Genomic DNA, 14799 nt, shown 5'->3' on the forward strand with positions numbered 1-14799 from the left:
ACCCTGGTGGTGATGTGTTGAAGGAAGGGAACTTGGCTGTGGCAATGAAAGAACCAGGGGTTTTAGCAGCATCCATCTCTCTTTTCCTCCACTCAGTACCTAAAGTGAGGCCGAAGTTCACTGGAATTTTTTCCCTTTCAAATGTTTAGTTTTATGATTTGTAGTCTTGCATCTTGGGTTTTTGTTTTTGTTTAAAGAGACAGGATCTCATAGGTGGCCTAGGCTGGCTCCAAACTTGTGACCTCAAGTTATCCTCCTGTCTTCACCTCCCTGAGTAGCAGGGGCAGCATGCATGTGCACCTGGTTCTTGGTGTTTCATTTAATAAATATCAAAAGGAAACATTCAGTCCTTAGCTGCAGCAGTCAATTAAAAACAACAGAAAATATTTTATTTATGCCAAAGGAAGAAAAATCTTGGTAGCAGCATCATGATTTAATCAACATTTTAATCTAAGGTTTCATATTTTGGCATATTTAAGGAGGCCAGCATTGCATTTTGATTTTGATAAAGTATGGAGGGAGCATGTTTTTTTTTTTTTTCCTTTATGGAAAACCTTAGTAGTTCTTGTTTTTAGATAGAACTTTAACATTTAAAACATTCTTGGATTTAGTGAAAATGCCACCATTCCTGTGTCATGGATTCATACTGAACCTCAGATTTATAAGGAAAGAATGCTTTACAGAATGGATTTACCAAGAGACCCACAGATGACATTCTGTTTCCTTTCATAGAACCATAATACTGTAACATGTTTTTGTTCTTGTGCAGTGAAATACTTTGTTGTAGCTCAAATTCAAATCTAAGAAGGATCAGAGTTAATAGAAAACCAAATGGAAGGCTCCGGAGGTACTGGAGGAAGCAGAAGCATTACTTTGTAGCATCTCTCATGCCACAGTTGTCACCCAGCAGAAGTCAGGAAGCCATGCTGGGTGCTTTGTACCCCTCAGCTAGTTAGATTGATTTTTTATCGGAGAGGCTTTTCAAAGTTTTTCTTCTGCATCTGTATTTTTAAGAACTAAAAACACAATAGTAAGAACTTGGAGGGTTATGAAGCATGAAGTTCCATAAATATTTATACCAAACCACAGAAGTAGACAGTTCCTATTTTCTTCACATATTGGGGTCGGATTTCACTCTTGACCTCTTGAATTGAAAAATACAAGGAGTTAGTATACCCTTTTCTTTCTCTTATTTTTTCTTATTTATTTATTTTCAGTTCTTTAATGAGTTTTAGATGCTGGGAGCTGTCCTGTTAGGTTCATGTAGGTTTCGTTGGACTTATACCCAATTTTAGGCCTTACTGGTAAGCTGTTTAATCTGTTTTTGTGGATTTATTGCTACTAAATTTATAATATGTCCTTTTTATCAAGGCTGATAGGTTGCCATCTAAAAGCATATTTTAAATTAGCCCTTTTATTTTATTTTTCTTCCTCACTTAAAATCTTTGGTCCATAATAAATACTTTTTTCCTTTGAAATTATGTTAAAAACTTGTGAAATAATAATAAATGTGAATTGTAGAGAATTTAGAAAATATAGGTAGGTAGAAAAGAAACACCTGTAATTCTACTCTGTTTTTTCCCTACTCTTTACATAAGTATATGTATAGGCAATAAATATATGTAGAGGCAAAACAAAAAAAATTAGGCTGGACATGGTGGCTCTCGCTTGTAATTCCAGTGCTTTGGGAGGTTGAGGCAGGTGGATCATTTGAGGCCAGGAGTTTGGGACCAGCCTGGGCAACATAGCAAGATCCTTTCTCTACTAAAAGATGAAAAAATTAGCAGGGTGTGGTGGCACACCCGTAGTCCCAGCTCCGCAAGAGGCTGAGATGGGAGGATCACTTGGGCCCAGGACTGAGGCTGCAGTGAGCTTTGACCATGCCACCTTACTGTAGTCTGAGTGACAGAACGATACCCTGTTTCTATGTATATTTATATGTAAATTCTAAAGTATGGAGAAGTCATTTCTGTGGAATTGATGATTATTTTTTTGCTGATTCATTTCCTCCTGGCTAGTTTCATTTGTTTTCAACATAAAATAATACACCAGCTGATTAGTAAGTTTGGTGCATACCATCTTCTTGCTGTCAGGGTGCTTACAATTTAGTAGAAGAGGAAATATATTTCACAAACTATATGGTGTAAGCTAGTAAGTAAAAAACGTCAGATAAGAAAGCTTATTTGGGAATTAAGAATACAGAGGGAGGGAATCTTTTGAGGTTAGATAAGGTATAATTTTGGAAAATTAAGAATTATAGAAATAAGGACCTAAAAAGATACCATAAAGATTTCTGGTCCAAGTCAAGTAAGAAAAATTATACATATATGCATCTAATTGCATAAATATATACATTATTATTTGTCAATTTTCTTCATTTTAAAATGAATTAAAAAAAAAGAAAAGACTCTGGAAGGCCAGGGAAACACCTGGGAATTCACTTGCAGAACTGGGGCCACAGTCTAGGGCCGCAGACCCTCAGCCAGACCACTGCTCATTCCTCCCTGGAGTTGAGCCCTGAACCAAAGATCCAGGTTTGATGCAGGAGTGACCCCGAGGCTGAGGGATGGGCCTGGTAAAGGGAGGTAGTCATAGACGGAGAGTCATGGGCTCGGGCCTCTGACTCTACCTTTTTTCATTTCCTGTGGGGTCTTCATGTATTATTTCACTTCTTTGCTAGATTATCAGCCTTTCTCTTGCTGATAGCACTTTCCCCCATCGTATGTGCAAATATTGACTGTGTTAAAACCACACTATTCCTTGACCCTGTGGCCCTCTTAACTCTGAATCCATCTCCTAACACCTAGCCATCTTCACACGACGGTAGTGTACACTTGCTCATCTCCCTCAATCCCTTATGAATTGACCGTAATGGATCTCCCACCCCAGCCACTCTATGGAAGCAATACCGGTGAACTCTGTAAACCTTCATATGTGCGCTGCTCGAGACTCTTGATGCGTTGCTCTGCCAGTCTCCATTTGAGGCTTCTGGCCCCCTTGCACATCAAGTAGGGTGCTTGGTTGCTTGCCATCAACATTGATCCTGGCTAACTTATGGAATGAAGAATATTTTTTGGAAGATTGGCAGACACTGTTGCCTTCCACTTCTCCTTTGCCCACAGAATACTGATTTGGTTTGTGTCTCATGTTCCTAACGCTTTGCTAGATCTAGATATCCTCCACCTCCCTAACAAGGGGTGGCCATGTCACACAACTCTGGCCAACACATGCAAGGAGATGTCTGCGGGGGAAATCTGAGAAAAGGGAGGAGGCCTGTTCTCCTTGCCTTCAACTCTGTTGTGTGATAGGGTGGTGCTGGAGGACGTAAGAGCTGTCTTTTATCTGAGAGTCAGGATGCCCAGGATGAGAGGCCAGGAAGCTGGGTGGCTGGGTAGAAGGATAGGAAGAGCCTGGCATCTTGTTCACTTTGAAGTTCTGGACTAAAATTTGAACTGCCTGTCACCAAATAACTTAAGTGACTTAATGTCATTTGTAGTCATGGTCCTGGCACTTGCATCTAAAAAAGCAATTATTTCTGTAAATGAATGTTCAGCTCTCCCGCTTGCTCCAAACAGCACTGTTCAATGGAGATATAATGTAAGATGCAGGTGAAATTTTATATTTTCTAATAGCCACATTAAAAAAGGTGAAAACATCTGCTGGGATGAATTTTAATAACATATTTTATTAAACCACACACATCCATGGTATTTAGATTTCACTGTATAATTAATGTAAAATAATTATTAATTGGGCATGGTGGCACCACCTACTCAGGAGGCCAAGGTGGGAGAATTGCCTGAGCCCAGGAGTTCAGGGCTAGCCTGGGCAACATAGTGAGCCCTCATCTCTCTCTTTTTTCTTCTCTTTCCTTTTCTTTTTTTTTTTTTTTAATTATTAACAGGATATTTTACATTAATTTTTTATACCAAGTTTTCAAAATCTGTCATTTTAACACTTACAGAACATCTCAGTTGTACTAGCCACTTTTCAAGTGCTCCATAGCTGCATGGGCTAGTGGCCTGCATATTTGCCAGCATAGCTCTAGAATCAGACCCCTGGACGGGAGTGTTTGATTAGCCAGACCTAACTCACCTGATTGTGGTCCTCCTGCCAGGGTAGGAGGGGAGAGACTGACTCCCTTTGTTTTTCCTAACTGGGAAGCCCCCCACACGTGAGAGTCGGAAGCTGGGCTGCCAGAGAAGGCAGGTGTGCCCTGCAACATTATGTACCGCCTTCCAGTGTTGCTTGCTCTTTAGAAATTTATGTTCCCAGGGTTCCATTATTGGCTTTGATCTTCCTTTTTGGTTCTCTCTTTGGGTGTTACTATCTGGTTTTAGCGATCACCTGTATGCTGATGACTTCCATATCTGTATTCACATCCAAGAAAAAGTTACTTTCTAGTTTTATAGCCATATATTCATTTCTTGACTGGACATAGCCCCTTACCTGTCCCCCAGACTTCAACTCAGCCTTGCCTAGTCTGAACTTACCTCCCTTCTTCCCTGGACTGCTAATCTCATGTTTTGGGACCACCATATGCCTATTATCCAAACCAGAAACAGAAGCATCTTACTGTCTCCCTACTTCTTCACTCCTTAACCTCCTGTCAGTGACCAGGTCCGGTGCATTTTACTCCTTTTTCCTCAGATTTGACCTTCTCTGAGCCATATTCATTTCCAGATGTCTTTTATAGAACTGCTATAGCAGTCTCGTAACCCATCTTTTGCCTTCTGGCTCGTGGTCCCCCTTTGCTTCTTGCCTTCCTCCCCACCCTCCAGCTGTCCTGTGCATTGCAGCCAGAGTGATCTCCCTAAGCACACGTCATTCCTCTGCTTCAGCTTTTTCAAGTGTTCCCACTGACTATGGAATGAAGTTTCAGCCCCTTAGCATGGTATACAGGGCCTTGTCTGTCCAGTCTTACTTGTCATTACTCCTGACCTTGCACTTGCTGCTTTGGTAATACGGAATGGTGTGGGCAGCTGCCAGCTTTGGAATACTGTGTTGGTGGGACTGCCGCTGATTCCCCTGAACACCCTGCTTTTGTATTTATGTACTTCCTTTTATTGTTCATTCTTCCCACTGTGCCCTTTCCACCTTTCTTGCCAGCTCATTCCGGCTCATCCAGAAGGTTCTATAATGGTGTAATCTTGGGCAGTTTCTCTGAATCTGGGGGTTGGACTAAATACCCCTCCTCCACATTTCCCATAATCTTTGTCCATGCGCCCCACCCCCCTTTTGGCCATGTTTTATTGAAATTATTTATATGTATTTGCGGGTTCTTTGAAGCCAGGGCATCATCTTAGTCTTCTTTATCATGGAGTGGCTTGTGTGGTATCTGGCTCCATATGTATTTCTTGAACTGAATTAGATAAGTTTGAAGGGAGACTGGGTGGAAAAATATGTTGGCCCAAGTTACAGACAGCTTTATACATAAGAAGCATTCAAATGTTCAGTGAATGAAGAAATGGAAATCAGATGATATCGTTTTGTAAATCTTGTCAGTTTTGGTAGAAAAATAACTTCAGGTTATGAATCCTTTGTTAACATAACCATACCCTTTGTTGTAATGCATCGGTATGAAGCATTGTTACTTCTTAGCTTTAGAGGCAATATGCCCGTGTTAGCTGACTTCATGACATCTAAAATCACATCACATGGTGTCTTTGTCCCACTTGTCATGGGGTGCTCGGGCTTATATCTGTTCTGTGCCCAGTCTGCTCTTGCCAAGGCTAATTCCCTTGGAGTAGGAGTTGGCAAGCTGTCACCTGTTTTTGTAAATATAGTTTTATTGGAACATAGGCAAACTTTTAATTTATATATTATTATGTATAGATGCTTTTGTGCTAAAACAGCATAGTTGAACAATTGTGACAGAGACCATGTGGCTTGCAAACTGTAAAATATTTCCTATTTGGTCTTTTACATTATAAATTTGCTGTAGAGCCTTGCCTTAGAACCATTTAATTTTGGACAGGCAAAGCCTTATGTGATATCCAAATTGAGTACTGATCTCTGATTAGGAATCAGGAGAATACGGATCATAAAGGGCAAACCTCTTTGAGTTGTGTACTCTATTTGGTGGAATGGTTTTCTTACATTTCTTGCAGGCTGGTCTTGAACTCCAGGGCTCAAGCGACCTTCCTGTCTCGGCTTCCCGAGTGCCATAACTTTCATGTTCAAGGTTACATATGTGAAATCTAAGTTGCAGAAAAAGTTTGTATATTTGCAGACTGCTAGGTGCATAGCGGCTTAAATACAGGACTTTCATTAAAATGTTTAAAATATTTTTACACATCTCCCTCCCTGTACCTTGCCACCCCTTCTCCAACCTTGCCTTCTTTGCTTTTGTGGGCAGAGTTCCTTTGGGTTTGACTAATTCTTTATTGTTTCTATTTCTGAAAATAAGTAAATTACCTTAATATAGGGTAAGGTAAAATCCTGGCAGTGTGGATTTGAGATGACATATACCCGGCCTCAGCATGTCACCAAGGGTGATATTAGAATCATATATTGGCTGGTAGCTGTGAGGATGACTCAAGTCTGCTGGAATGCTGGAGGAGAGTGTATGAGAGTGCTGGGAGTCCCTTTTCAGTTGCTGCATGATCAAGAGGTCTAGGGGCTGGAGTTGGTGAAGGGTGGAAGGCTGGGTACCAGCTGATGGTCAGCTTGCCTCTACGGATGTATGCATTACTTCCAGTAAAGCAGAGGTTCCTCTGGTTCATTTTTCATCACACATGTTTGAAATGTCATGTGCCAGTTGCAGTTCTGGGCGTTGGGGATTCGAAATGAGTAAATGTGCTTCTTGCCGTTGGGAGGCTTGTAGACAGATGTTCTTGGAACATCTGGCGGGAGGTGGCAGGATCTATATAGGACAAGCCAGGAAAGGTTCTGGGCTGACAAAACAATGTACATGCTTTAAGGGTCCAAGAGTTTTAGGTTAAAAAAAAAAAAAGAAACTTTTTGACATCTTGCAGTAAGCCTACATATTATACCTTTTTACTACAATTTTTGCTTACCAAAAAATTTCAATTTTTATAGCAGTTATTTACTTTTTAGGATATAATCAAATTTGTCTTTTAGGTTGCCTGCCTGATTCGAGTTCCATCTGAAGTGGTTAAGCAGAGGGCACAGGTATCTGCTTCTACAAGAACATTTCAGATTTTCTCTAACATCTTATATGAAGAGGTGAGATGGGTTTTTTAAGCTCTTCTTTTCTTTATTAAGATTTTATAGTAGCTAATACGAACACTGTGGATTTCATCCTAAGAGCCTTAGAGAAAACTTTAGAGCTAAATTTAATGTCCAGTTATAGTAAATTTTTGCTAAGATTATCTTTGCCTTTTATTGGTTTTTGAATATTTTCATTTACATGTTTTTCAAATTTCTGAGCATAACATTGAGTGTCCTGAATTGTAATCTTCCTGCAGTTCTTCTGGAATCAGATGTGAAACAAATTTTAAATATGTAAAATGAAGAAAGATATTATATTAAAACATCAGTATAGTATTTTAGGTCCATGGAAGAGATTTAGTACTGGACTGATAACAGTGACCAATGTCATAACGTTTATACCAAAATGTAGCTTCTTTTACAGATGTATTTGAAGCTGTCAGTCAGAAATTATTCTTCCTGACCATGTGACTAGAGAGCATTTAGCTGCTTTCCTTTATAGTTTTTATGGAAGCCTTTTTTTAAAAAGACATGAGAATCAATCACATGGGAATTTTCAAAGAGTCTTGATTTTAGAAAAGTTATTTGTAATGGTGTGTTACATAGGTGAGGAGACATTGAATATCTAATTGTACAAATGAGATGAAGCTAGTATAACTTCCCCGTTGAACTATGTGGATGGTTAATCCAGGGTTGTCTGGAAATACTGACCACTAGTTTGAGAGATTATGAATGAATTTCTGATGTTTGAGGCTATAAATATAATTGTTTTTATACAAAAGGATAATTGGCATTTGTAGGCATTTGCTTTTGGAAATGTATTTAAAGCATCTCAAATGTTCTTTTCAAGAGAACACATGTTAGAGCAATTAAGTACTATATAATTAATATTTAGTAGAATAACAGCAACTAAAACTAAGTAAATATGTAGTCAGTTTTATTGTTAGAGATGTTCCTGTTTCAAAGAGAGCTAATCTGAGCTCCCTTAGGAGCTAGTTATAGAGGTATATAAGTTATATAAGGTATAGTTATGTACCTTAGGACAGTTTAGAATCATTAACCTCTTAGAGAAGTGTGGCAATTGTGAATGTTCTAGAACTCAAACAAGAGCAGGTAGATCTGCTGTATACAGAATGTCCTTCAGAAATCTCTGCCATTCTTTCTGAACTCTCGGCTGTGTGTTTGTTTCAGGGTATCCAAGGGTTGTATCGAGGCTATAAAAGCACAGTTTTAAGAGAGGTAAGTCACTTACTTTCCAATATTGAAGTACGAAAGAATGATGTCCTTTGTTCAGTAAATTTATACTACTTAACAATTAGAAATATATTTGGAGAAACTTGGTTTAAAAAATCAAAAAGGGAAATTATCGTCACTCTTCTGTTAAATTTTCTGAGTTTTTATATTTAAAAGAATGAGTAGAATGGGTTTGCCGGAAGAGCAATTTCAGTGGTCAGAATGACCCATGTTGTTACTGACTTGTTATTCTAGGGTGGCTAAATGTCTCTTATAGTTGAAGTATTTTTTGTTTGTTTTTTTGAAATGCAGTCTCGCTCTGTCACCCAGGCTGGCGTGCAGTGGCGCGATCTCGGCTCACTGCAACCTCCGCCTCCCAGGTTCACGCCATTCTCCTGCGTCAGCCTCCCGAGTAGCTGGGACCACGGGTGCCCACCAGCACGCCCAGTTGATTTTTTGTATTTTTAGTAGAGATGGGGTTTCACCATGTTAGCCAGGATGGTCTCAATCTCCTGACCTCATGATCCTCCCGCCTCGGCCTCCCAAAGTGCTGGGATTACAGGCGTGAGTCGCCGCGCCCGGCCTCCCGGCCTCTTATAGTTGAAGTATTAAGAAGTAACTTCGGGTCAGGCGTGGTAGCTCACGCCTGTAATCCCAACAGTTTGGGAGGCCGAGGCAGAAAGATCACCTGAGGCAAGTTCGAAACCAACCTGGCCAACATGACGAAACCTCGTCTCTACTAAAAATATAAAAATTAGCCAAGTGGTGGGCACCTGTAATCCCAGTTACTCGGGAGGCTGAGGCAGGAGAATTGCTTGAACTTGGGAGGTGGAGGTTGCAGTGAGCCAAGATCGTGCCACTGGATTCCAGCCTGGGCAACAGGGCAACAAGAGCGACTCTGTCTCCAAAAAAAAAGAAATAACTACTAAGGGTAAGATATCAAGTTTATTACTGAATTTTGAGGAACTAATGAAAAATTGGTAATGAAATAAGCCTTCTAAGACAGGGACCCCAACCCCAGGGCCGTGGACGTGTACTGGTCCGTGGCCTGGTACTAGTCTGTGGCCTGTTAGGAACTGAGCCACACAGCAGGAGGTGAGCAGCAGGTGAGTGAGCATTACCACCTGAGCTCTGCCTCCTGTCAGATCAGCAGCAGCATCAGATTCTCATAGGAACACGAACCCTATTATGAACTGCGCATGTGAGGGATTTAGGTTGTGTGTTCCTTATGAGAATCTAATGCATGATGATCGGAGGTGGAACATCTTAGGTGGAACAGTTTCATCCTGAAACCACCCACCCCACCACTGGTCCATGGAAAATTTTCTTCCACAAAACCTGTCCCTGGTGCCAAAAAGGTTGGGGACCGCTGGTTTAAGAGGTGGATGTCTCAGAAGTCTGTATCAGGCAGTGAGCCCTTGGCTTCTTGATAACAAAATATGAGCTGGGAAGTTCAGTCTGGACTGGAGTCCTGGCACTGCAGGTGATTCACAGAGCAGTGTATCCCAGGGGAAGCCACTTCACCTCTCTTTGCCTTCTAACTCTAAATTTCTGTGATTCAACACATGGGAAATTTTCTTTTGTTCTGTTTGGTTGAAAGAGCAAAAGTTTACCATCACTAAGTAGTTTCAGTATATTACTGCAAGAACATGGTATGGGCCAGGCATGGTGACTCAAGCCTGTAATCCCAGCATTTTGGTAGGTGGAGGTGGGTGGTTTGTTTGAGCCTAGGAGTTCAAGACCAGCCTGGGCAACATTGTGAGACCCTGTCTCTATAACATACGAAAACTAGCTGGGCATGGTGGTGCCTGTAATCCCAGCTACTTGGGAGGCCGAGGTGGGAGGACTGCTTGAGCCTGGGATGTCGAGGCTGCAGTGAGCTGTGATTGTGCCACTGCACTCCAGCCTGGGTGACAGAGAGACCCTGTCTCAAAAAAGAAAAAAAATAAAAATAAAAAGAAGCATGTTATAATCTTTGCTTCACATAGAAGAGACTATCTTGAAAAAGTTAGTTTTTTCTAAGTTCAAAAGTTCGTTTTCAGATAGGTGAGATATAAGAGAAGTCTGGTTTGGGACACAATTCTCTGTTAAAGAAAATACAAGTGAGAACCTGCATACATCTGCTCTGCATCTGCGTTTTCTATTTGGAGGTTCTGGTATACTGAAACATAATAGTTAAATATTGCCGTATTTGACCGAATACTGAAATTCATTGAAATCCCAAATTTTATTCTCAGGTAGTTTTTTGTTTTTAACTAGAGATAACAATCTTCTTTATGACATACCAACACTGTTACTTGTGACTTAAAGCTTTGGTTTTCATAGCAACCTAGTTGGTGTAGATCTTTGAAGAACTTCTTTTTAAGGCAAACTTAATGTTTCAAAATTAGTTAATTGTGTGGAGATGACTTGTGCCTTTCAGAAATAGCACCCATACTGTATATTCACTCTGTACTTAGTTTCTGACTCACTAAACATGTGTTCCTTACTCAGATTTCACCTGGGTGCAGGACAAAGAGAGGCAATAAGCCTTTTTTATTTTTCTGAGAGATGCTGAATAAATGAATATTTACATGCCGGAGAATACTGGTTTTACATACAAACAGATAAAACACATGGTCGCAACTGCTTTCTGTTCTTTAAAAAATTTGTTTTGACATATGTCCTGCTAGTAATTAATTTGTAGCCTGCAATCCTTGAAAGTAGTGTGACCTCACTGAGATGACTTTGTTTACTCAAAATGGCAGCGTTTTGTTGGAGATTTAATTGAGGTCTTCTGCATTATGCATATTTATTCAGAGTTGATTTTAGTTGAGGTATTGCTTTTGTACAGATTCTGTGATAGAATGAGAGAAGAATTATTGCCGAATGAAACATAGCTTCTTCTCAAAATGAGAAAAATAAGAAGTGATACATCTGCTTTAAGCAGAATTTTATGCATTATAAATAGTTTAGATTCTTACTTTATTCTGGCACCAATATAAAATCTTTTTGCCAAGAGCGTGTCTGTTGTTTCAATAAGAAAATACATCAAAATCTTAGTGAGAATCACCTGGAAACGTATACATTTATTCTGTATGCAATTTTTTCTTTAAACTGGTTTTATCTCCCTAGCAGTTGCCCATTAGAATGAGATTGAAGTTTGAGTCCATGCATTATAAGATAGATTCGGTGTTCTTTAGATTGTGTGAATGTTGTCACACTTTTTTTTTTTTTTTTTTTTTACTGCATTTGATGTTTGTGGAGATTGCATGCTTATCCCTTACATTCTCTGAAATTATTTTAGTTACTGTGAATTTTAGATGGAGTCTAAACAAGGTCAGCAGATTACACTACCTCATCCTTTTAGTGTTCATTTTTCTCATGATCTTTGCCAAATGAGATGTGGTCAAGCATGCTGGTGCAGTGATATTACTGCAGTAAGATGAAAGTGGGGAGCAAAATCATAGATGCTTTCATATCCAGGATGATTTGAGATGCTATTGGCCTGAAAATTTTATGGAGAGCAGCCTCATACTCTTGGATGTGAATTAGAAGGACTTTTTATAGAGGAAGAAAGCAGAGTAAAGCAGATTGTTTCAAAAGAAGTGGGAATTAGTTAAACTTAGCAGATGTCTTTTGTCCACAAATTTCACTCAGCTGTCCTTTCTGGAGTGCCTACTGGGTCTTGGGGCACTACAAGGAACATTTCTGCCCTGAAGCATTCACTTTCTGGCGGGGAAACAAACAGGGAAGTAGACACTTTACAGTGCAGTGTCATAAGCACTGTAATGATAAGTATATACAAGATGCAGGTGGGGTTACAGACGAAGCAATGCTTGAGTGGTGCTCAGTTAGCATAAAACGATTCTTAATTGTTGAAGGAGTGGCAGTTAGAAGTAGTTAAGGTTATAGGCAGATGGAACAGCAAGAGCAAAGCCATAAGGGTGTGAAAGTACATGTGTGTAGCTTGCTTATTGAAGCAGAATTGGGGTTTTCATGACCATAGAAGAGAGTGCAAGCCAAGGGAGGGCCTTCAAGAGAGCACGAAGTGGGGTGTTTGCCTGGAGGAGAAGTTGAACTTCTTGCCCTCAGCTGTTTGCCAGGGACTGGAGTGGAGAATTTGGGAAAAGCCCTTGAAAGAGCCTGACATGTGTCCCCTGGAGTCTGGAGGATAACTTGCTGGTATCTGACTCCTGTCTGCAGAAACCTGAAGGTGAGAAGCTGGTTGGAGCTGTCCCAATGGCAAGATGTAGCCATTTTAATAACAAATAACTCCTGGTTTCTTTTCGGTAGATGCTAGTAAAGAGATTTGAGATAGGTGAGGGTTATTCTCCCCACCCTAGTTTTGCTGTAAGCAGTCAACATGCCAAACAAGTAATTCAATCTGTTCAGTAAGTTCATTGAAGCCCCCAGTCTTTAGGTGCAAAAATCATCACTCTTAGTAGTTTATTCAAAAGTGGATATGGCAGCTTTTCAGACTTGTTTTCCCTTAATATCCATGTTAGGCAGTGGGGATTCCCCTAAATCCAGTGGCTGGAAACGGGAACCTTCAGCGATCAAGCGTCAAGGACTGCCCTCCAAAGTCTCCTTCCCAGTTCTGCTGTCTGCCTACTCAGTGCCTTTCCCCCGAACACTCATGTTATATAAGTCTCCTTAGTGTTTTTCCAGAGACACTCTATCCTAGATCTTCTGTATTTTTTGTTGCTGCTTTCTAACCTACTTTGTTTTGGAGATCATTTATATCACTTCATTAAGAGCACTATCTTTTATAATGATTGCATAGTAGTCCATTGTATAAACAAACCATTGTTTATTTAACATTTCCCAGTTGGTGGACATTACAGACATGCTGCAGTGAGTGATGCTGTTCCTGTGTTATTTTATACATGGTTGAATGTTTGCAGGTTACATACCACAAGTAGAATTACTTCGTGAAAAGTATCGGCATTTGTAATTTTGGTAGATAATGCCAAATTGCTCTTTAGGGAAGTACCAATTGACACTTGCCAACAATGTAGGAGCCTTCTGTTTTCCCCTGCCTCACCTATGGACTAGCAGTCTTAAAGACAAAACATGATGTCATTGTAGTTCTAATTTTAATTACAAGTAAGACTGGACATAATAACATATATCTGAGAACAGTTTTATTTACTTTCCTGTGAACTGATGATTTGAAACTTCCCCCAAATTCTTGTGAGGATTAAATGAGGGGATCCAGGCGAAGTGCCTTCTGTAATGCCTGTCACACAGTACGTGCTCAGGAAATGTTAACTAGGATGATTGGTACTCTGGTAACTGAAAGAGCTTTAACAGTGAAGGACACCTGATATGGTTTGGCTCTGTGTCCCCACCTAAATCTCATCTTGAATTGTAATCCCCACGTGGCAGGGGAGGGACCTGATGGGAGGTGATTGCATGGGTGGTTTCCCTCATGCTCTTGAGACTGAGAGAGTTCTCACAAGAGCTGATGGTTTTAAAAGTGTTTGCAGTTCCCCCTTTGTGCTCTCTCTCTCCTTCTGCCATGTAAGACGTGCCTTGCTTTCCCTTTGCCTTCTGCCATGATTGTAAGTTGCCTGAGGCTCCCCAGCCATGCAAACTGTGAGCCAAACCTCTTTCCTTTATAAATTACTCAGTCTCAGGTAGTATCTTTATAGCAGTGTGAGAATGGACTGATAAAACACCCAAGTGTGGAATGCAGCTCTGTCCCTTACCAGCCATCTGCTCCTGACAAGTTTACTTAATCTGAGTCCAGGTTTGCCCATTTGTGCTAGGAACTTTGCATAGACTCTTCTCGTTGATACCTTTATACCTTTACAGCAGTTCTAAAAGGCGGCTGTGATAGCAGTATAGCCTGCTAGGAGATTCGGAAATTAAACCTGCTTTTAGGTTGTTGGGTTCTTTAACAGGGCTGCAACCTTGATATGTCTGCATTCAGACATGTTGATGACTAACAATTGCTGTGTTTGAATGAGAGGCCAGACAACTGTTACTGCTTGTAAAGCTCTTCAGCTATAATGAGAGTGTTATATCCAGATGTCTTATTGAGAGACATCTTTATAATAGTAAAAAAATTGCAACCTGCAGTTGATTTTGTATTCACTGGCTACTTATGTAGGAAAAACAGCATATTGGTATAAAAAGTAAAGTTACCCTAATTGATGATTGAGCTGATCAAGATTCCTAATGGAAGTGTGTTGGGAAAATTCCATGATTGTTCATTTTTGGCTTATTCTTATGGAGATTGCACCAGTTGGATGTTTTCCACTGAAAAATGTTACCAAGCAACTATCGCCAGAACTTCTGTTGCATCTTTACTGTCCTTAAGGCTCTATATACTATTTCCTGCTTATCATGATTGTAAAAGAGAAAAAAAATAGTCCTAGCTCATAAGGGAGAATTTTCCCCCTTCTT

The 14799-nt window shown here is 40.2% G+C and overlaps 1 protein-coding gene across 26 annotated transcripts in view; it reads left to right on the forward strand.

Annotated features, from left to right (window-relative positions):
- Positions 1 to 14799, forward strand: part of SLC25A26 (solute carrier family 25 member 26) — a 245318-nt gene that overhangs the window by 121358 nt on the left and 109161 nt on the right. For all 26 annotated transcript variants that reach the window (NR_028475.1, XR_007095631.1, NR_174572.1 and 23 more), the window contains 2 exons: positions 7084 to 7188; positions 8365 to 8412. Coding sequence is in view for 10 of the 26 variants with exons in the window: in NM_173471.4 (NP_775742.4) it covers positions 7084 to 7188; positions 8365 to 8412 (153 nt within the window). In the remaining 16 variants the exon portion in view is untranslated. The remainder of the gene's footprint in view (positions 1 to 7083; positions 7189 to 8364; positions 8413 to 14799) is intronic.

This window comes from Homo sapiens, chromosome 3 (genome assembly GCF_000001405.40).
Source record: "Homo sapiens chromosome 3, GRCh38.p14 Primary Assembly".
NCBI lineage: Eukaryota > Metazoa > Chordata > Mammalia > Primates > Hominidae > Homo > Homo sapiens.